Below are 24,407 nucleotides of genomic sequence, written 5' to 3'. Positions count from 1 at the left end.
GGCAATGGCAGAAACTCTAATAGCAATGAAATGGGGAATGGCACAAATCAGAACTCCCACACTCCAGAGCTGTCTTATCAGTACACTACTGGTTCAGCCCTCAAGAATCTTAGTCTTGTGGATGGCCCAATAGACTCAGTTAAATTCAGTATCATTTCAATTTCAATAGGACAAATATAAGATAAGGAACCCACTAGGGGAGCATAAAGATGAGGTAAATTTAGGGGTTGTTTTACCCTTTGACATCAATACCTATTTCTGACTCTTACGTTGACAATTTTTGAAAACCAAATGCTCCTGGAAATTTCTGTTATTCCACTTTGGTGTGTGGTAGGGAAATGTGACTTAAAGCTGTACAGCAACCCTTAGACAAAATAAGAGAGAACTCCTTTCTTTAATTGAATGTTTCTCCTTTAGTGTGACCTAAAAAATAGGTTTTCTTCATATGTTTTATTTTTAATGGAAAATAGATTTATCACTCCCAATGCTACAATGAGGTGTTATAATGTGAAGCTGGCTGTTAGTATGCACACTTGAACTTACACATCCTGTTGAATTTTGTCCCATGAAATATGAGTAGCTCTCGAATCCTGTGTGTATTTACTCAAAATGGCAGATTCTACTTGCTGTCAGTGTGGATAACCTACCTTTTCTCCCATCACCATTTTATTCCCTTTTACCAGCACAGAGCAACTCCAGTCTTCACTCTAGCCCTAGATCCCCCTTCTCATCTTGATTTAGAATGGATTATCTTGGTGCAGAAGAGGGATGCCTTCAAAGAAAGAATGGTGGCAAAGGGCACAAAGGAAGGATCCCTTCCCTCTGCTCTGCCTTATTGTGTGTCAATCACTGCCTTGCTGTGAACCCTGCTTTGACTTACTTAGGCTGTGCTGAGACCTGTGATGAGAACTGTTCAGCAAGGAAGATACAAAGAGAAGATAACTCTTCCCTGGGCCAGAGTTGTTAGGAAATGTGTACTCAGGTTCCTGCCATCTTATTTATTTCTTGCATGTAGTGTACTGGGAAATATTGTTAGACATAGTTGCTAAGTTCTGGAATCCTACCTATTTCAAGAAGTTAATTAATTAATTAGGCTTAGTTGGCCAAGGAACCAAACTACTGTATATGTTTCTGATGAATGCAGAGTTTGTTTGTACAGGGGATTGGTACTTAGATGGGAGACTGGCTCACAGCATTTGGGAATTTTTTTTTTACATGTATTCCAAAAAATATATTATTTCTCATAACATGTTCCCCATGTCTCCTTTGGAATGCCCCTGAATCTGTCTTAAACCTCATGAGAACATTAGCTTCATTGCTTCACTCACGCTTCATTTTGTAAAACACACACACACACACACACACACAATACACATAAACACACACTGTATTCACCAGTTTCATCATGTTATTTGTTCATCTTTAACTCTCTGAAAAAAGCATATCTATTCTCAAAGGGTGAAAATGTGCACTGCTTAACTGTATGCATTTTAAGGGCAGAGACGATTTGTTATTTGGTTTTGGTATCCACGATGTCTAGTATTTAGCATTCTTAATAACATGTATAGGAGGAAGGAAGGAAGGAAGGAAGAGAGGAAGGGAGGGAGGAAGGGAGGAACAGAGGGAGGGGCTACACAATTCTTTATTTTAAAAAGGAATTAGATATTGCTTTGGTTGAGCGCTTTCTCATTCTGACTGATCATGTCAAACACCTAGGAAATTTTTTAAATTTCTAAATTTCACTTCCAACCCACCAAAATAATCATAAGTATACATCATATATTCTATAAGAGTTGTTTATTCTGCATGCAAGAACCTCTTTTCAGGTCCCAGGTATACTTTGGCGAAAAAGGCAAAACCCTAGCTGTCAAGGAGCTTATGTTTTCTTGAGAGGCTATTTTTAATAGGACAGCCAGAGAAGGTCTTGTTGAGATGACTGTTAAGCAGATACTGGAATGAAATCAATAAAGCATCCCTGTCAATACATTCTAAAATATCCTCCTAATTCTTGTAGAAAAAAAATGGCTTCTCTGAAAGAATTTGATAAAACATATTTTTGTAGGATATAGTTTTGTTGTTAAGATATGTTTGTGAAAACTGTATGAACCATTTGAACAGAAGCAATTTGATTTATTGTAGATAAATGTATACTCCGTGACAAGGCCACTTTAAAAGTAAAGATTATCTTTAAAAACCCATTGAAAAAGAAATATACAAGTCCCTAGACTTTCAACCTAACTACTATTTCTATGATTAAAATGATAACATAAAAATAGCTCAAGCTCTAAAATTATATTGTATAAAATTATGGATGCATAAGAATCAGTTTCCTCTGAGCTTTGATAATTACATTTTAAATAGAGTACTGACATGCTGTAATTATAATATTAAAATACTAAGATAATCAAAAGCTCAAAGGGGTACTCTGGGCTTCTGAAAGATTTTGTAAATGTCATTAAAACTTTGACTTTATTTCCATTATATCATAGGAAGATTATTATTATTCGTGTGTTTCTGTTCACATCTAACTGGAAATCTTTTTCACACAGAAAATTATTGCCATTGTATCTGTCTAATAGCATTGATTTAAAAATTATAATTTCATACAATGCCAATTTTTAATTCCAGCAGATTAAAAGGTCTCTTTAGTTTGACTCTTTCTTCTTTTTCATTCTCTCTTCTAAATTCATTCAAATCTCTCTTTCCTCCTCCTTTTGTTTATATTCCTCTCCTCCCCTATATCCTCTGGGGTTTTGTTCCACTAAATGCATCTTTCTCTTGAAGTTCTGATCTCTTTTTTTCACATTGGATTTCTTTCTTTCTTTCTAGTGAAGGTTGGTGTATTGTATGTTAGAAAATCCGAAAGAGGTCGAAAGCAATTGAAGAGAGAACCGCAATAGCTCCAGGGTCCTGGCAACCATGAGTGTTGAGACTTTTACTTACTTACATCTCTGGTTTTCCCCATATGTGCACCAGATCCATTGGGCTGAGTTACTTATATTGACCCCTGTGCATGATAAACTTGTATTACTGGCCCATGTGGAGCCGCTGTCTTGTTTTTGTTTTATATTTTCTTTCATTAGTTTTTCTTTGCCTTGTCCTTACTTATTTCGGTTTCCCTTTCACCTCATGGATTCATGCTCTAATGTGCTTGGAATAGTCCTTATGTATACATGAATTTTTAGAAATATATAGTATTGTTTTAATTTCCATAATAATCATGCCTAACATTTTCATAACTTTTAAAATTGAATCATAATACTCATACAGACTTACGGGGTATATAGTTATATTTTGATACATGCATACAATGTGTATTAATCAAATCAGGGTATTTTATATGACCTCAAACATTTATCATTTCTTTGTGTTGGGAACATTTCAAATGTTCTCTTCTGGCTATTTTGAAATAGATGTTAAATTCTTGTTAATTATAGTCACCCACCATGTTATTAAACGCTAGAACTTATCCCTTCTATCTCACTGTGTTACATTGGATATCTTCTTTTAAAGTACATATGTCAATTATCTTAATATTAATATTAGTTAATATTGAAAATAAGATAAAAGTGTAACATTCCTAAGGAAACCACAGCTGGTTAGATTATTATTACACCTCTTTTCATCATGCCATTAAACTTTTTGGAAGGACCGGGGGCACCTTATGCTTATTACTGCTTATTTCCCATTCTACCTTCGGTCTTGATTCTATTTCCTATTTTGACCAAAAGGTCATCTAATAGGTTATCAGTGTCCTGAGTCACTAAGCACCTATGGGCCGTATCTCTGGCAATGTACTTCTTGAACTCTTTGCATGTTTTAACATTATAGGTACCTTGTTCTTGAATTTTCCTTCCATAATAAGTAGCAAGTAAATTTCTTGCTTCATTTCCTATCCCTCTTCTCCCTCTCAGTCTTCTTTACCATTCTCTTTTCATCAATCATAAGTTCCATTTCTTTATCCATTTTAATATGGGTTTCTCCTAGTTTTTATTCTTAGCTTCTCTTCAACTGCTAGTACCTCAATTTCACTTAATAATTTCACTCATTCAGCTGTAAAAGTGTATTCATTATTATTATTATTAAAGTGTTATTACTACTATTTGATAATAAATGTGTTTCTTACCCTCAGTTTCGGTTAAGTGTGTATGGAGATGAGGATTAGAGCAGATAGAAATATATATTTATTGTTTCTAATGCTGTGCCATCAGTTTAATACTGTGTTCAAGGAAAAATATGATGGTTGTATCAAGGAAAAATGATTAAATATCCTTCTGTCAATTGAACTGCCCAAATAAAAATACCATCAATCTGGATGGTGAAGAACAAATGGAACATTTATCAAGGCATAGAAAGAACAATCACTCTAGACAGAAGAAATAATCTATGTAAAATTTAAACAATGAACTTCAGGATAATAATGCTTCAATTTACTTTTATGATCCTGTTTCTCTCCTATACTTCAGCCTTGCCTTTCTACCTATCTAATAGACTTCTCCATGAGGACAGCCAGGCAGACCCTCAAAATAAATACCTTGTCTGCCATTTCTCTCACCTGTACATATGCTTTCTACCTCAGTTAATGACCTCATTCTCCCAGCCATCTAATGATTTTTGGAAATAGCTTTAACTTCCTTTATCTCACCCACTCTATTCAGTAACTTACCCAGTATTATGAAATTTTCAGTCTTAATGTTTTTTGCATCCATTTTTTTCTTTCAGATTGTATCTGTTAACTCATTTACTCATTAATTCATTAATCGCTTTCTGGGAGCCTTCTAGAATACTACCACTGTAGCTTCCCAAAACCACAGTGATGAACCAACCAAGCGAAATCCCTACTCACATGACTTTACATTTCATAATAATAAAGTGAACAAATACAAATAGTGTGTAATTTTTCTGTATATGTTATGTGCAGAAATACCACTTCTTCAGAGTGGCTTGCTTAGAAATGTTGTCCAGAGAAAGCAGATGATAAAGAACAGAAAGAGAATCAGTTAAGAAACTGTGGCAGCTGATACATGGGCACACGTCCCGGTAAAAATCTCTCAGTAGCTATATGTATGTAGCATTGTGCTAGCGCCTGGGCATGCCACGATGTGCTATCACAAATCAATGGTAAATATGTCTCTTCTCCCCATTCTTCCTATTATCCAGTTTTCCCTTACTATTGTCAACTCCACAAACTCTGAAGAAGGCTTGAAATTTAGCAGATGCTGAGGAAGTAGATGACATTTTTACACTCTCTTAAAAAATTGTTAAATTTATGATTTCTTTGATAATATGAGGATAAAATGCAAGATGAAAATATTTCATTATTTGATGGAAACGTTACATATCATAGATGTTTATTAAAATATTTTCAACACAAGATTCAAAGTTCTGAAAGACCAGTCTGGCTTGCAAACACTGAGAAAAATTTTCATTAAAAGAATTCTGACAAGTGATCCCACAAAATTACCAGTGACCCTAAACTTCACAAAATAGCTGTTTAGAACTTGCTACAAAGGAACATCCAGTTTTGGCAATGTAAATAAGCCGAGATACCTTAACCATGGGAAACTACCATTTTAAGATGAATTATAAATTAAGAGTTCAACTTTCTTCCACATTATCTCTGAAGTACAAATCATGGAGGCACAGGAGAAGACAATTAACAGGTTTAATAGAGTAAGAACTTTGGTAATGAATGTTTTATTTAGAGGTAAACAAATCAATTTTATATGTAAGAAAGGCTATTGCTTGTTTTTCATTTATTTGTTTGCCTCCTTAATTTTATGCTCAACCTCACCTATAAAAGGCACCAAATTAATGTTTTTACCAATAGGACCTCATCAGTGTCATAAAGACATTGTACTGTATTTACTGTGATTATTTGGCTCTCATATAATTTACTCTGGTATAAATCACAAAATGCAGTCTCTTCAGAAGCAATCATTTGCCTAAATGGTACTATTTCTTTACAATATTTTTTATTTACAAGTAATAATCTTATTTAAATTTGATTTACTAGTTTTAGTAAAAGAAAAAAAGGAGAGGAGTAATACTGAGTTTCATTAACTTTCTTTTTTTCTTTTGAGACAGAGTCTCACTGTTGCCCAGGCTGGAATATAGTGGTACGATCTCAGCTCCCTGCAACCTCCACCTGCTGGGTTCAAGCGATTTCTCTGCCTCAGCCTCCTGAGTAGCTGGGACTATGGGCCTGCACCCCAACGCCTGGCTAATTTTGGTATTTTTAGTAGAGACAGGGTTTTGCCACGTTGGCCAGGCTGGTCTCAAACCCCTGACTTGAGGTGATCTGCCTGCCTTGGCCTTTCAAAGTGCTGGGATTACAGGCATGAGCCACCACACCTGTTTCATCAACTCTAAAGTATAGAAGTGGTGTTTGTATAAGAAACACCAGGATTTAGGGACTTAAAAGTACGCTAGCTTCTATCTAGCCCCTCTCCATTTCTGTCCCTTCTTCACTGGGCATTGGCAATAGTATCTTCTCCACACAGCTTTATACCATAAGTTTAGAACATGGCTGTAGGCTGTGCTAGGTCTGCATCATCCTAGATAAACATCGATATACTTTCTACTCTCCCTACAGGTATCAGAGGGGTGGCTTACAGGATAGGTTCCATTACAGAGTTAGTATGGAAAATCTAGAGAAGGATTCTGATTGGCCTGGATCCAATCATACTATACACTCTTGTATTGAGAGGAGCAGGATATTCTTGAGTCCTAAGTTAGTGGTGGTGGTGAAATGCTATAATTTGCATACAGAGCTACAAAGGAGTTTTGTAGGGATGGATAGGTGTGCTGGCGGAGCGGGCTGCAGGAACAGAGCAAATAACATATTGTCTGTAATGCAATTTGAAAATATTAGAGTATCTATGCTTTTAACGTTATTGAATAAATTCATATTCTCATATCATGTAAATTCCTTGTTTTGAAATTTAAAGTATTCTACACAAGTACAGAAGGGAGACCCTCTAATATTTGAAAATCCTATCCTCATTGCTATTGTTTTGATCTTGCCATTAAGTGCTACCACATGTGCAGGGCTCTATTTTCGTCTCTTACCACAAGTATAAACCTATTATCCTTCGCATAATTTAGAATATAAAAGAGAAAGAAAGAATTCACCTTTGACATATATGCCCCAATTTCTAGTCTTGTTATTTCTCAAATTTCATTGAAGCTGGGCCTCATCTTGACCATTGGGATTTCCTTTAATTATTATTATTTTCAGCTTTAGCTACTTTCCTGTACTCTACTTGTTACAAACATTGTTCTCTGACACCTATATAATTTTTACAGCCTTTTTGAGAGCCATTTTGTTCCACTTGGGATTTAAATTTATGCTTGGTAAGACTATGTTATCCATCAGATCTTTCTGTGACTCAGACTCCCAAAACTGTTTTCTTCTCAGAAGAATTGTTCTGCTAGTGTCCAGTCCTCTCATCATATAAGATCTCGGCACATTATTGTAAACACCTCTCCTGACCTTTTAAAATGGAGTCAGACAGCCAAAGAGAGCAAATGAATAAGCATTGGGAAAGAGCCTAAATCTAGAATTCAACCTTAGCATCCTCCTCCTTGCCCATTCCAACTATTGGGTCTGCTTTTCATTTGTCCAGTCTTTCATTTGTGGACTCATATTCCAGTTACTGATACCCGTCTCAGATCCAGTTACTGATATCCATCTCAGATCCTCACCCTCGTGCTGGCAACCAATGATGCCGTTTCTCTGTGTCCCTGATTTTTGTTGGTCTCACTCCCTCCTCAGACCCCTCTTAAAGATTTATTTGTTCACTTTCTCTGTTTCACCTCAGCTCTACTTCCAGCTAGGAGACGGTGCTCACTCTGCTCACCCAAATTAAATCCAACCCAGCCAGACCAGCCACGGTCTTTCTGTCACAGTCTTAAACAGAATCAGTATGAATTTTTGCTGGTGTTAGCATTGTCACCTTACGGGTTATAATTTTCTAAGGCTTTCTGTGAGGACTAATCAGTATAGCTACCAAAATCTTAGAAAACTACAGACCTCATGATGACTATCACTATCATGGAAATAGGAGCTATGATGTCCCAAGTCCATTTCGATGAGTACATTTTACAAAAATGTATATAGAGAAAATAAACCCCTTCTCCACATGTGTAATATTAAAAAATTCCTTCCCATTTCAGTTTCTTCCTCTCTCCATAACAACCTTTATATTCTATAATGTATTGTAGAATTTTTAATGGAAAAGATGAAGAGAGTATACTTGTATATCTGGCCTTTAGTTCAATTGTGGTGATGGACAAAGGAATTCTTGGCACCTTGACAGCTATATTGTTTACAGGTAAGAGAAATGTTGAACTTACATACCTTTAATGCAAAGACCATGTTAAAGGATCTGAACTCTAATCATCAAAAGACACTCTAAAATCATTCATAAGAAAATTCAGGTTATCTTTGGAAGATACTCTCAGTGGGTAAAATATATAAAATGTTAGAAAGCTTTAAGAGGATTTAAGGAGAAAAAGGTAAGAGGAGTTCAGATTCAGCTGAGTGTGGAATATCTCACAGCTTTAAAACGTTTGCCTTAAGCTCAGGACAAATACAACTCAGTCCAATTCCAAATCAGCATCTTCCATTTAAGGTTTTCTCAGCATAATGCCGTGTCTTCATCTGGCCAAGGGCCTTTCCAGAAGAACAAGTAGTGATAGGGACAGGAGATAGATAAATTCCAGGCAGAAAACGGCAGGTCCCTGGTGAAAACCCCACCCTCAAGCTGAAAAGCCTGAAACTGCAGCCCAAAGCGAGAATTTGTATCCCTGTTTTCCCACCTGAGTGTTGCCTTTCCCTAAATCACCCATGCCCGCCCCCCCACCATCCACCGCCTGCACCCCAACCCCCCCCCCACCGCCCCCACTCCCCAACCTGTGCCTATAAATACCTCATACTCAGTTGGAGAGGAGCAGAGACTACGGCTGGATGTCAAAGAGAAGTGGCTTGGCTTCAGAGGGACAGCTTGACAGTATAACTTTGGAGAAGAATCCAGCTGCCGTAGATGGCCAGACTTCAGGTACCTACCCACCTTATCCGCTTTTCAGCTTTCCATTACCTTTTCAGCTCCCAGTGACAGCCGCTTTCATTGGCAATAAAATCCTCAACATTTACCATCCTTCAGTTTGTTGGTGCGACCTCATTTTTCCTGTGTGCCGAACAGGAGCTCAGGAGCCACGAGTGCAGATACAAAAGGCTGTTACACTGGCCCTTTGCCCTTGCTGGCACAGGGCAGCCGACTCATGAGAAAAGGCAAAGGGCCCACTGAGCTGTTAACACTTAAGCCATCCGCGGTCAGCAGAGCTAAAAGAGCACTGTAAAAAACGCCCTTTGGGGTTTTGGGGATCGCAGGCACCATCCCCCGCCCCCGAAAGTGCCGCGGGGCCTGCAGGGAGTTCGCTGGCTGGTTCCAGCGCCCCTGTACTCCAGTTCCCGTCTTGTTTGCTTGTGTGCTCCCTCCTGTGAGGAGTTGAGAGCAATGGGCTTGGTAAAGGAGGCACACCTGTCACGAATCCCGTGAATGAGTCAGAGAAACATCCTGCTTCAGTGTCAGGGCCTGAGTGTGGGCATCTCAGGACCTTCTCCATTCTCCTTGTGCTGCAAGCTGCTGCCTCCAGTGTCCTGGTCTCCAGATGGAAGAATGCATGTGGCAATTCCTGTAACTATTTCTGGCTGAAGAAAGACATCTATGAAGTCAGGAAGCTCAGCCTAAGGGTACTCCAAAACTGCCCTTTCCTAGGGATTCCAGATCCCACATCCATCTTTTTGGAGCTGGGAATAAGTATTTTCACCTGGGCATCTGGGAGGGCAGATACTGTACAGGTGGCTGAAGGTACAACCACCCCTAAATTACTAATCCAGAAAAGATCATTAGAGATTACTTAGAGAAAGTCCTTATTTTACAGATGAAGCAACTGAAGCCAAAAGTAGTAAAATGATTTATTCTCAGCAATGTAGTAAGTTAGTGACATGATGGAACTCTACTCTTCAGAGCTTGTTCCACTGGATCACACTGCCTGCTCTATTTTTTCTTTTAAATGATCAGAGCAGATTTGTTTCTAAAATAAAACTCTTCCACTAGCAGACATTTTAAGAACATGAAAACATTTAAATAATAAAATATTACTAAAGCCCTCAGTAATGTGGCCTTATTTACACAAGAACAATAGCCAGTGAAGGGTAATCATCTCCCACTGCACTATGTTCATAACTTTATTAGAGCATTTGTCATGCTCTATATAATAATCATTCTCCATGCCAGTTTTGCTGCATGTTAATGTTAGTTTATCAGGGATGTGCCTTATTCATGGATAACTCAATAATGTCCAACAGAAAAACAGGTGCATGTGAGCAGTTCAATACATGTATGGCACATAAATGAATGAATGGATACCTATATAAATACATGGAAAATTTGAGGAAGAAAGTTGCATAAGGAGATGGAATCATGCTATAAGGAGCAGATATAACCAGGACTGGATTGACGTGGGCTTGATATTTGAGTAAGGAATAGAATTGTGAGTTTATAATGGTCTTGCATGACCATGCAAAATTGTATAACCTATGAATTCAATAATCTGTTCTCACAGCTTGATGTGCAGCCAATAAAGTTACCTATACCATGAGTTCCTTTCCAATACTGTAGGAAAACAACAGTTTTTATTTTCCATGTCTCCCCAATAATCATTCAAGTGTCAGCTAAGTACAAGATTGTGTGTTTTTATTTTTTAATGTGAATGGGCACAGAAGACATGAACAAACTAAAGATTGTGATAAATTTCAGGATGACAGAAGTCTACTGTGGTATGATTTATGGATTACTGTGGTGGAGAAAGTCACAGATATCATAAGGAGAGAGGTCTTGTGGGGAGGTTGGGGTCATTTTTCCCAGTCTTGTCCTTAGATTCAGAAGATTTATTTAAAGAGTGAGTTTTGGGAGTAAGGTAGTAATGGAAGTGACTGATTGAACTACTGTCTGTCACATCCTTCAAACCACTCCTCAAATCAACAAATACACATTACATATATCAACTTTTGATTTCAGCCAAAAGTAGAGAAAATCTTCTACAAAAATGCAGTGGTCTTTTGGAAGTAGATAAATCTTTCAGAGTGGGTTTTGGTGTCCTAGAATAGGGTCCTCCTCTGTGGCACTAGTGGTGGTATGGGGTGTGACTGCTGGCTGTTATCCCCTACCCTCATGCTTAGAGCTTGGGGTATATGTACCTTCTTCTTCATGCAGAGGCAAGGAAGAGCAGGAGAAAAAGGGCAAAACAAAACACAGCTATCCATGGGATTACCGTTTTGATATTAACTAAGAGGTGGAAAAAATTCTCAGCATGAAAGCGTGTGACCAAGTTACTCAACCTATAGCAAACAATGATAATTTAGGGAATAAAATAGAACTTAAATAAATCTTTATTAGTGTTCTATGACAGACTCAAGATTCTCTTACACTAATATAAGAACAACTTACATTGAGAAAGGAGCAATGCAGGGACTTCATGGTATTGAAATTAGTCAACATAATTAAAAATCAAAAGAAAGTAAGAAAAAAGATTAGAATTTTCTTAGAACATGGTTAAAAAAAGAGATATGAAAAATTTTGAGAAAAAAAAAGCAAAGAGAACCAGTCCAAAGGACTAATATCTCTCTACTAGTACTTCCACAAAAAGAGGACAAAAAATTATAGGGAGATTAATTGTAGAACACAAACAAAAATATGCTTTTTAGACTGAACAGAACCATTGAATACTGAGGATTTACTTAATGATTATAATGTACATTATTTGTTTGATGTTGATGCTAAAAACCAAGACTTTACCACTACACAACATATGCAACAAAATTGCACTTGTACCCCTTACATTTATACAAATTTAAAAAAATGAAAAACAGCTGATACATGATGTTGAAATAAAATTTCAAAATACTATGTATGACATTGCCATTTACTTACCAAATCTGAAAACAGAACGAAGTAGACACTGTCATTTACTTATCTCTCCTTACTGAGAAGAATCTGAATTTGTTCATATATCTAATGGGAAGCAATATCTTAAGACAAGTTCAGTGACCTTTCAACCACAGGAGATAAGCCTTTTACTTGTTTAATGATGGAATGAAGATGTTTGCCCATTATGACCAATTAAATGAAAAGGGAGAAGTTGGCTACAGGAGATTCTGTGGGAAATATTTTTTTTTCTGACTAAGAGAAAGAGAGAGGGGAAGAAGAGGAGAAAGAGAAAGAGAATGAAGAGGGTGAAGACTAAGAGGGAGGAGAAAGAGGAGAAGGAGGAAGAATATGGATATAGCCTAGAGGATCTGAGAAAAGCTAGCTCCAAACGCTCAAATCAACCCCAGAAGCATCTATGTTTATATTTTGTTTTATGTGAAACATATAAAGGCCTTTTACGTTAATTAAATCTTGCATCCTTTAGTTGCATATAAAAAGAACCTAATTACTACAACCAAGGCTAAAGAGAAGCTCCAAAAGTTTTGAAGCTGGTGGGGGGGATGACCCCAAAGAAATTAGAATGAGATTAACCTGATACCTTTTTTCGGGATCAATGGGTACTTAATGACAAAGAAATATTATCTCAAAAGTTTTGTGATAAACAGTTTCGAAACTGGGATTCTATAATCTATTAAACGATCAAATATAAAGCTATGCAAAATTTTTCTCTCTTATACATTTTTCTTGAAGTAATTATACAATACTCTGTATCAGCAAAATGAAAAAGGAATCTAAGAAATGAAGATGACAAATCTAAGCAAATTGGAGAGAAGTAAGAGGAAAAAAAAAGATCCCAAATGACAGCTGTGCAGCAGTCATAATAAGCAATCTGTACAAAACTGACCTTTTATCAAGAAGCTGCATAATCCTAGTGCTGTGATTTAAAAAGCATGCATTTCTTCCTTCAATGAGATAAAGATAAGCAATTAAAAATTCCAGAAATAGCAAAATGTATAAGAAAATATGGTCCAAATAGCAAGCAACGTGGCATGATTTTTATTCAATGATCGAGTTCAAGAAAATGAATTTTATTGAATCTTGGTGGTTTTAAGATCCTCCTTTGAACAGCATAGAACTTATTACCTGGTGTTACTTTAAAAAGCTCCTGTTGGTTTTCAGTTTTCAGAAGAAATGGTTTCTCAAACTTAGCACTATCGGCATTCTTTGAAATGGGGGAATATCCAGTGTGATATTTGACAGCATCCCTGGCCTCTAGCAGCTAGATGTTTTTAGCACTCTAGTTGCAACGATCTCAAATGTCTCCAGTCATTGCCAAATATCCCTTTGCAGTGGGGACTTGGGAATCAGAATTGCTCCCAATGGAGAGTGATTACTACAGGAAAAAAAGGACATCTTTTTTTAAATGTAAAAAAGACAATATAAATGTTCTAAATTTTGAGTACATAAAAGTAGGGTCACAGATGAGAGAAGATGAGTGATGACGTGTGAGCAAAGAAGTAGATGGAAATAAAGGATATATTGTTTCTTCTTATGTGGAAGGAAGATGAGGAACTAAAGTTCTTGAACTGATATAAATATCAAGGTAATTCTTAAATTTCTAGACAATCATCAACAGACTAAAAACAACTACGTAAAGTTTAAAAAGTCATTGGGGGAAGGAGGTATGATTTCAGGATATGACGTGGGTAAAGTATTTTTCATAATAGATAATAACAAATATAGGTGAAGATTTTAAAATCAAGAAGTAACCGTTTGTGCATATAATGTAATTTCTACCCAACACACTAAATGCAAAAAGTCAAGTAAGTTTTCTCTAAAGAAGGAAAGCTTTGACTTTCTGCTTTTTTGCTGTCTATATTTATGTATGTATTTATATATGCCATTATGATAATGGCATATATCTTCTAAACAATATGTTTTATTTGCCTTTAAATATATCTCAGTATCTATCTTACTCAAATGACTTCCAGGAATTAACTATTATAGTTTTCATGGTAAAGACAGTGTTAACAGCCATGAACAGTATACTTTTCAGATCAATTTCTGGCACTTTTCCCTTTCCAAATTACCTGGGCAATATTTTTCCAAAACTTTTATTGGACATTGTGATTTAATTTCTTGCCTGTTTGACCCGGCTAATGTGTGAACCCTTTTTCTACCATTCAGCCTGGCTTGACTTCCTATCAACCAATTTCCAGGTGTGCATGAGATAACCAAAGCTTGGGGCACTGAAGAGCTCTTAGGGAACCCTGCATGTTCATTTGGCCCTCATATTAGGGGTCAGCAGTTCAGTTCAGAGTGAACAGGATCTGAGAGCTCAAATGAATAGGATACAGCAATAGTCCTTAGGCGGTCATTCTCTAATCTTTGCTGGCAGAGCCTTTACAGACCGCTAGGAGAGTTAATTATGCAAATTAAATTGGTTGAATCTATTTATAGCATGGCAGAACTGGACAGAGCCCTGGGCATAAACATTTGCCTGGCGTCCCCTCCCGCAAGCAACTTGACACCACTACAGACCCTCTGTGATCTGGATATGTTTGTCCTGTAATTAATGAAGGACAAGAAAGTTTATCTGGAATATGAATCACAGATAACTTAAAACACTAGACAGAATCAAAAAGCAGTGAACCTTCTGTGTAATATTTAATGTTCGGTGAATGCCAGAAATATTTCTGAAGCTCTGAAATACTTTCATAAAATATATATACACATAAATGCATGCACAAACACAAAACACAAACACAAACTCACATCTGAGCTCATTAAATACAATTCAAAATATATACATATATTTGTATATGTACATGAACATGTATGCATATGTATATATGTTCTGTAAGCATTTATGATATATGTGTATGTAGAGAAAGAGACAGACCACACATTGTTGGTGCTAGTATAAATTTTTCAGTTATAATGTCTCTAAATTCTTTTTTTGGTGCATAATATTATATCTGTACATATTTTGAGGTACGTATGATAATTTAACACATCCATATAAATTTTAAAGATTGAATCAGTATAACTGGGATGCTCATTACCTTAAATATTTGTCTTTTCTTTATGCTAGAAACATTTGAATTGTTCTCTTCTAGCTATTTTAATATATACACTAGATTACTGCAAACTATAGTCACCCTACTGATCTATCAAACACAGGGTCTTATGTCTTCTATCTAACTGTATATTTATACCCATTTATCAAACTCTCTTCATCCCCCCTCCCAGTGCTAGCATAAATTGATCAACATATCTAGAAAGTGGCATGAAGTCATTCAGAGACTTTTTAAATGCTTATTTATTTTGGTAGTGTGTTCACACTTCTAGAACTCTATCTTAGAGAAACAGATGATCTACAAGGTAGTTATGCATCAATATCCATCATAATCCTATTTAAAAATTTCAATGTAAATGCCCATAATTGGAAAAAGGATAAAGAAGTCATAGTACATCCATAAACATAATAGAATGTAGGGTGTGTGTGTATGTGTGTGTGTGTGATCATGTGGGAAAGTTTTATAGCATATATTAAATAAAAGGTTATAGGAATATTAATTCTCATATATCCCCAGTACACGCATCCACATGTACATACACACAACACATAAATGGGGGAAAAGAATCTTCTTTAAATATTAGCAGTAGATTAATGGTTGCTTTTATTTTCCTACAATTACTTGTGTCTCAATTATTATACAATAAGCATATATCACTGTGTAATCAGAAAAACAACCATTATTTATAAAATAAGACTAAAAACCTAGTATCTTTCTGAAGTATTTGGGGTTTTTTGGATTGTTGGCTTGCTTGTTTCCAACATGAAATATCTTTTAAAGAAGGGTAAAATGGGAAATGTTTCCTTTGAGCTAAGAATGCACATATTAAAGTAAATAAAAGCATGAAGTTTTGAATAGCTATTGGCATTATTTTAGCAATTTAATCATCTTATTTTTTTAGCCAGTTATTTTTTCCTTTGAGATGGCTCAGAAATTAAATGACCTTTCTAACTAAACATACTCAGATATAATCACAGGTAATGATGATATTATGTAAGCTCAGTATCTACAGTATACCTTAAAACGTGCATTCTCTCAACTAGCAATTTTCCCAATCAGCTTTTCATTTTACTGTGCCACAGTCCTTTAAAACCCCAATCATGGAGGTGGCTCTGGAGAAAAAAACTGTTCTGTTTGAACTCAGTAGGTAATGAATGTTCAAGGACTGAATGTGCTTTTTGCTCTCGGGAGCTCAGTGTGATTTCACTGTTTTGCAGTCATTTTCTTCAATTCGATGCAAATACTTGTAATTTCCCCCAGAAATAAATGCTATTAAATACCCTATTTCTCTCTTATATGTCAGAAATATTATATCCCACAATACGCTGTATTTTTGTCAAAATTAAACATCTACATTCTAAGTCACAGATAGGCCCCAGATAACCAAAGTTGTCAGCTAGGAATAAATAAAACTTCCAGCATGCTGCAGGTAAATTAGTAATGACAAGTAGACATTTTTGTATGACAGCTACCATCCCCTTTCATCTCCACTGCTGTACCTGGCTGTTTTAATTTTTTATGTAAATAAATAGCTTACCAGTTATCACCAGAAGGAATCTAATGAAAACAAGTAATATGATCACTTTCTAAATTTTAATCTTGTGTAATTTGTGACAGCTTGTTCTAACCACATATGTGAAGGTAGAAAATACAGCTTCATCTGTAAAGGACTATTGCTCGGATTTCCTCTATTTCAGATTGAGTGAAAATTGCACAGTGATTACAGGAGGCCCTTGAAAATGCCTTGGGATTTTTTTATAGAGTATGAATCTATATTAGTTTAGGTGTTAACTGAATTAATACGTAGAGAAAGTCAAGAAACAACAGATTGAGAAACTGGTCCTAAATTAGAAATAATTACTTTTATAGTTATTTTAAAGTTCTTATTAATCTTCAGAAATGAATGTAGTGTGACATTCTGAGCTTAGGAACGATCATACACGTTTATACACATAACACATACAGGACTGGCAGCTCCAAGGTGAATGATCTTTCTAGGATCCCATCAACCAATGTATAGTAGATTTAGGAATGGCAATCTAGTTAGGAAGTTCCATATCCCAGATAATAAAACCACTATGTTGTTCATACTCCTCATTTCAAGAGACAATACGAATGAATTAAGAAAGACTTTTTCTTAAATGTCACTTTGATAAAACAACTTTAAATGCTTTGCAAATGTTAACTCGTTTAATTTTCATAACAACTTCCTATTAAAGAGGAGGAAACCAAGACATAAGAAGTTTAATAACTTAGGTGGTGTCAGGGACAATTAGAAAATAGCAAAGCTGGAGTTCAAAACCAGGCAATCTAGGTCCACAGAATCTAGCCATTCTCCCCACCTCTGTACCATGCCATGTCCTTCACACTGCCTGATGGTTTTTACATAGTTTCAGGGAGCCCAGCAGATGCCATCTCTGATTCTGTCATGGAATATCGCTTTCATTTGCTTTATATAATGGCTTCATTATATAAAGCACATACAATGATTAAAACATTGAAAATCATTATTTTACAAATTTATTTCTTTTTGAGAAACCCCAAACCCTACATTGCACGCATTAATTTGCACTCTAGCTAGCTATTTATAAGTACTACTAAATACAGGCTTTTGGCTGACTCTAGGAAAAGGGTAGGAGTGACGAATAGTGGAGGGATCCAAAATACCTTTTCATGATAGAATGCTCTTTTGTCCTTTAGATTGTTTTCGCAATTTTTTTATAGTGGTGTGGTTGAGGTATTTAGGGTTAGGAGGACTAAGGGAAGTTGGAAGACATTTGTATTTACTGGCTTTGCAGCCAAATGTCAAGCACTAGGTGTTGAGTCTGTGCAATGTCTCCCAACTGACGCCGACATGAATTTCCATGAAGATAAAACAGGAAGGAGAGGCTGTGTACACTTCATCCTTTTACGTCTGCTCTTGGATTTTCATTTTCACTACTTAATTTCTTTAGGTTTTGGTAGACTACCCATGTTTTACTTTTTGGCTGAATATAGAACTTTCTTAATCTATAGAGTATGTGGATTCAAAGAAAATGTATCTAATGTTTCTGATGTACACAGAAATATTTACATAAAATCTAGCTCTAGACACTTGTGAGGCTTCCCAGTAAGATTTTACCTTAATATATGACATTCTTCATCTAACAACCAGGCCTGAAAGTGGTTCATTTATATTATCATAGTATACGCTGTGTTGGGCATACTACAGAGTTGTCCAAATGGTTGTACAGAGAATGAGTGTTAATTTCGGTAAGAAAAAAAAAAGTTGTTTCAAAATAGCCTGTTTTGTAATTGCATACAAACAGAACTGCAGACTCATTTTCAAGATGTAATACTTTTTTTCTGTCACCAGAATTTCTTAAATAAACCACTAATTTAATATGCAGTTCAAGTTCAAATTATTTATTTTATAGCTAGATAACATAATGTTTCTCTTACAGTGCCCAATTTACTTCTGAAGAATAGATTGCCAGCTAATTTTTATTCCCATCAAGTCTAAAATTTACAAGGATGTTTATAGTTTTGAATCAGTGCTATTCTATCCAGGTTTGTATTTCTGAAAGGATGTTAGTAAAAGAGATCATTGCAAGTTCTTGAGACTACTCCACTATGCCAAATGTCAAAAACATATTGTTCTCTAATTACAGGTAATAACTATTTGGTAAGTAACAAACACATGAATAACCAAGTTAATATGCAATAAAAATATGACCCAGAAAAGAATAGAAGGTTATCACAGAAAAGTATGAATTCAATATTATATTTACAAAACTTAAATTAACAATAAGCTAGTAAATAACATGTACAAAGATAATGCGTGCAGCTGCTTACAGAGATTGCTTATTAAATGTTGAAAATGAAAGTAAGAAATCTTATTTCACTTGAAGTACCAATATATCCATCAGGTACAGAAGGGAAGAATGCCATGAACCACTGCCTAACTATATAAACTTAAACAAAACATAGCTATAGCAAAAGTTAAAGCCCAAGATAGGTAGCTCCTTCTTTCATAGTACTCACTGTCCTTCTGTGAATAGAATTTACCACTGGCAAAGGAAGAACATGCCAGCCACATGTTTCTTAAGCCACAAAACAATTGAAAAGAATCTTAAAATACAGCGGTTACCATTGTCATCCAATGTGTACTTTTGTTGAAAATATTTTTAGCCTACATAGCTTATTATAGCAAGTGCTACAATTAGGATAGCATTAAAATAATAGCTATCTATTTGTGGGAATTGTGTAATGATGCTCAAACTACTAGAACGTGATAACAGTCCTACTGGCTCTTGACCAAGATAGATCATAATATATACTGATAACTGAATACGACCATCTTGGTTTTCCCTGCATTGTGTATTTAAATGCTCAGAGAGAGCAAATAATCATCTCTCTGGCACCACTGGCTAATAAAGTCTTAAACTTAAGCAAGTTTCCCAGATAAGCCATGTATAATTCTTCAAGCCCTGATACTTGTCTGTTTAAAAATTACATTCACTTTTATTAAAATTTTCTCAGGTACATTTCATATTTTCATGAAATTTTTATTATCATATTGTTTCATATTATAGTCACACTTTTGGAAACTACTTATTTGGGGTAAAATAAAAACATTTCAGCCAGACTCTAAGGGCTTCAGTGTATTATAGCATTATAATTAAAATAGTTGGTAATATGATAACTTTGAATTATCAAGAAAATATTAAATTACAACATATGTGATCTTGTTAAGGAGCCATATAGTATGTAATTCATATTAGAAAGGCAAATATGCTTTCAGTAGCCTTTCTGATTTTTTTCTTTCTGCTGGTGGGTATTCAGTCATCACTGCTCCCTGCTGACAGAGCCCCGATATCCAATAGGTCCTCCCATTGTTCTAATCTTCAACTTCAACTCTTCCATGGGTCTAATATAAGACAATTAAAGTTGTTCTAAAAATCTTTCCTATGGAGTAAGTTATACAAACCAGAAAACACTAATTTTGCTTCCATTTTCAGTGGTCTTCTTGTTCCTTTTGGCATGTTAGGAACGGCTGGAAGGCCGAGGTGAGAGGAAGCCTGCACAATTAGGATCACAATTATGAATCCAGGTCATGGTAATGCTTCTGCTTCAGATACTAAGCTAGCTATATAATTAAAGAGGCACTGTACAAGCCAATGAGGATATATGTACAAGGATATATCTAAAAATGTTGATTCTGAGAAGTGTAAATTTGTAGATTGACATGATTATAAGTAAGTTTAAGAGTCAGGATGAGAATTAAAACAGGATTAAAGGACTGTCTAAGTACTTGAATGGCCAGATCAACTGTTCCAGGTCCCTTATATAGCAGAGCCAAGAGTCATTTTGAGAACTTAAATAGAAGCCCTAATTTGCAAAACAAACTATACTACAATTCTCAAAACTTACTATACCATAACATGCACAAAACCATAATAGGCAACAAAATTATCTAAGCTCAGACAGTTTTAACCACAGCTCACACTTTCAGATTCATGTTTTCCAAGATAAGACCAGAGGCAAACCCTGAATGATCTCATGTGCTCCAAAGTAAGACTACTGACTATTCCAACAGCTCACTGAGTTTACAAATTCTGACTTTCATGCCTAGACAGCACTTACTAGTTTCCATTCTGCAAAAGCTTCTGTAATTAATCCCAATTCCCAAACCTTAGGAAGATCCTTTTCTAACTTCCTCTTTTGAGATATATTGACTTCATCAAGATGATGTTCTTCTTACTTATACAGATTTACAGATTTCAGATTTGTGTGATCAGCAGGTCCTTTGGTAGCCTCTAAGGTCTTCGACTCTTCATTCGTTTATTTCTTTATTTAACTCTGTTGTATGAGATAAAGACTGAAAACGACTGTTGGATATAGCCACATAGATCTGATAAAGAAAGTTGACAAGCAGTTTCATTGACTAATGGGGAAATAGCCTCATTTTAACAGACTGAAGAGAGAATAAATAGTGAGAAATTGGAGAAATTGACCACAAATTATTTCAAAAGCTTTGCTACAAAATGAAGTAAAAAAAAAAAAAAATAAACAGAGAGAACTTGGTGGGGATGTAATTTAGCATGTTAGTGTTGTGACAGGAACAATTTAAAAAGAGAAAACAGTAATGCATGGGAGAAAAGGGAAAATCTGAGAAGCAAAGTACTTGAGAAGTTGAGAGAGACAAAGGTCAAATTGAGGTGCTACCGTTACAAAGGAGTATGAATTGTTCCCAGAATATATGGTTGTAAGTGTAGACAGGTTGGTTGCTTTGGTGCATTACTAAAGCAAGAAGTTTCTCTTCCAGAATTTTTTTCTGATTTGTAATATAAATAAAAATTTGTGAGTAAGAAAGGGAGGAAAAATAACTAGAAACAGAATGATGTAGTGGAAAGACTGGGGTTAGAAATTTAGGTTCAAAGCAGTATATCAAGGACATACCTGTACTCCTTGTTCATGTTTATTGCAGCACTATTCACAATAGCAAAGATACAGAATCAACCTAAATGTCCATCAACAGACTAATGGATAAAGAAAATGTACTATATATACACAATGTAATATTATTCAGCCATAAAAAAAATAAAATCCTTTCATTTGCAACAACATGGATGGGACCGGAGGTCATTATGTTAAGTGAAATAAGCCAACCACAGAAAGACAAATATGACTTGTTTTCACTCATATGTGGGAGCTAAAAAAGTTGATGTTGTGGACATAGAGAGTAGAATAACAGATACTAGAGGCTGGGAAACAGGGGTGGGAAGGAGAATGAAGAGAAGTAAATACAAACACACACGTAGATAAAAAGAATAAGTTCTAGTGTTCCACAGCAGAGTAGAATGACTATAGTTAACAATGTTGTATCGTATATTTCAAAGTAGCTGGAAGAAGGCTGGATGTGGTGCCTCACGCCTATAATCCCAGCACTTTGGGAGGCCGAGGTGGGCAGATCACTTGAGGTCAGCAGTTTGAGACAGCCTGGCAAACATAGTGAAACCCATCTCTATTAAAAATACAAGAATTAGGTGGATGTGGTGGACACCTCCTGTAATCCCAGCTACTCAGGAGGCTGAGGCAGGAGAATCGCTTGAACCCAGGAGGCAGAGGTTGCAGTGAGCCGAGATCTAGCCACCGCACTCCAGCCTGGGCAATAGAGTAGGACTCTGCCTCAAAGAAAAAAAAACGTAGCTAGAAGAGAGGACTAGAATTGTTCTCCACACATAGAAATCATAGATACTCAAAGTATCTATTGTTTTGAACAATACCCTGAATCAAATAAATACCTTGACTTTATCATTATACAGTCTATACATAGAACAAAATAGCACATGTACTCCAGAAATGTGTAAAAGATTATGTCAATTTAAAAAACTTTAGGTTCAAGCATCTCCTTTAATACTCAGTGGCTTCAAAAATATATAATCTTTCTAAATTTTAATTTCTCTCTACATAAAATGGAAATAATATTAATATCCATCCTAACTATTCTATCACCATAGTGTGCTACACTTCCTCTTTGCACATCATCTTCTATTTTACTTACCTCTTGGTTTTCTAATTTACTATTAATATATCTAACTCTCCACAATATACTCATTCTTGGAGAGTGATATTATGTGTGGATTATAACCATTTTCCTTTTAATTCTGAGCACTAACATATTAGCACACAGCTGATATCTAATAAATTTTAGTTGACTAATATTAGCAAAATGTATATAATATTTACCTTGTGCCAGGCACTGTTCAAAACATTATATATATATATATATATACGTGTGTGTGTGTGTGTGTGTGTATCACATGTACTCCATAAATGTGTAAAATATTATATTAATTTAAAATATATATATTATATATGTACGTATTCATGCCTCAAAACAAACCTATTGAGCAAGAACTATAAGCATCTTCACTTTAGAAGGAAGAGAACTGGCCGAGCCTGGTGGCTCACATCTGTAATCCCAGCACTTCGAGAGACCAAGACGGGCAGATCATTTGAGGTCAGGAGTTCAAAACCAGCCTGGCTGGTGAAACCCTGTCTCTACTAAAAATACAAAAGTTAGCCAGGCATGGTGATAGGTGCCTGTAATCCCAGCTACTCGGAAGGCTGAGGCAGGAGAATCACTTGAGCCCAGGAGGCAGAGGTTGCAGTGAGCAGAGATCGCACATTGCCCTCCAGCCTGGGCAATACAGCGAGACTCCATCTCATAAAATAAATAAATAAATAAAAGAACTGAGGCAAGAGAAAAGAGTAGTGTGAAAATGTGATATACATATATATACACTGGAATACTACTCGGCCACAAGAAGAATAAAATCATGTCTTTTGCAATAACATAGATGGAACTAGAGGACAGTATGTTAAGTGAAATAACTTAGAAACAGAAAGTTGAGTACCATATATTCTCACCTACAAGTGAGAGCTAAATAATGTGTACATATGGACATCGAGTGTGGAATAATAGACATTGGAGACTTGGAAGGGTGGGAGGGTGGAAGGGAGTGAGGGAGGAGAAATTACAATGTACATTTTTCAGGTGATGGGTACACTAAAAGCCCCGACCTCACCACTATGCAATATATCCATGGGACAAAACTGCACTGCCTTCCCAATTCACTTCTTATTTTGGAAAAAAAAAAAGTAGAGAAAATGATTGTTTTCAATCGTAGAACAGAAAGCAGGCAAAAACTTTACAAAGTTTTAATTTTAGTGTACATGGGGTGGGACATTCTCCTCTTCCTAGTCACTCAGGGACCTAGGCAGATGGAGGATCCACCTTGAGCCAAGCTTCCAGGATGACCACGGCAGGAAATGTGAGTAATCATGCACAGTCTCTCAAATGTGAAGCACCGCACCTCTGTTCACATTTCTTCAGCAAAATCAAATTATATTTTAAAAGGAAGTGAAAGAGCATACGTCTCCCATGTGCCAGGCTGGAGAAGCTGCAGAATATTCGCAAACAGCTGTAAGGACTACAACACCGGGACTGTAACCTGGCTCCAAACCACACAGCTGGCACCCCCTGTCCCACTTGGACTCCAGCATGTCTTTCCCTGATGCTCTGATTATACAAAACCAAGGGAGAGATGACAGCCTGTGGCTTTACCTTCCAAATATTATTTTCTTCATTGGAAAAATCTTAAAACATTTTTCATTTATTTGTTGTAGCTAATATATTTTAGCCCAGTGTTTTTAAAACTGTGGATTCAGCAATAAATAAGATTGAATCCCTGCCTGGTGAGCTTGAAAACTTAGAGGAAGAACACATATTTAACTAATAATTAGATTGAGGAGTCAAAACGTTATCATGGATGAGAGCCTCGCA

The 24,407-nt window shown here is 36.0% G+C and overlaps 1 long non-coding RNA gene across 2 annotated transcripts in view; it reads right to left on the bottom strand.

The window, feature by feature from the left end:
* The window catches only part of LINC02334 (long intergenic non-protein coding RNA 2334), a 131,124-nt gene extending 121,601 nt beyond the window's left edge, over positions 1-9,523 (bottom strand). For both annotated transcript variants that reach the window (XR_941880.4, XR_941877.3), the window contains exon 1: positions 8,934-9,523. This is a non-coding gene — a long non-coding RNA (long intergenic non-protein coding RNA 2334). The remainder of the gene's footprint in view (positions 1-8,933) is intronic.
* Positions 9,524-24,407: the final 14,884 nt, after the last annotated feature.

This window comes from Homo sapiens, chromosome 13, assembly GCF_000001405.40.
Source record: "Homo sapiens chromosome 13, GRCh38.p14 Primary Assembly".
Taxonomy (NCBI): domain Eukaryota; kingdom Metazoa; phylum Chordata; class Mammalia; order Primates; family Hominidae; genus Homo; species Homo sapiens.
The sequence above is the reverse complement of the archived record's forward strand: the minus strand, read 5'-3'. Positions and strand labels throughout refer to the sequence as shown.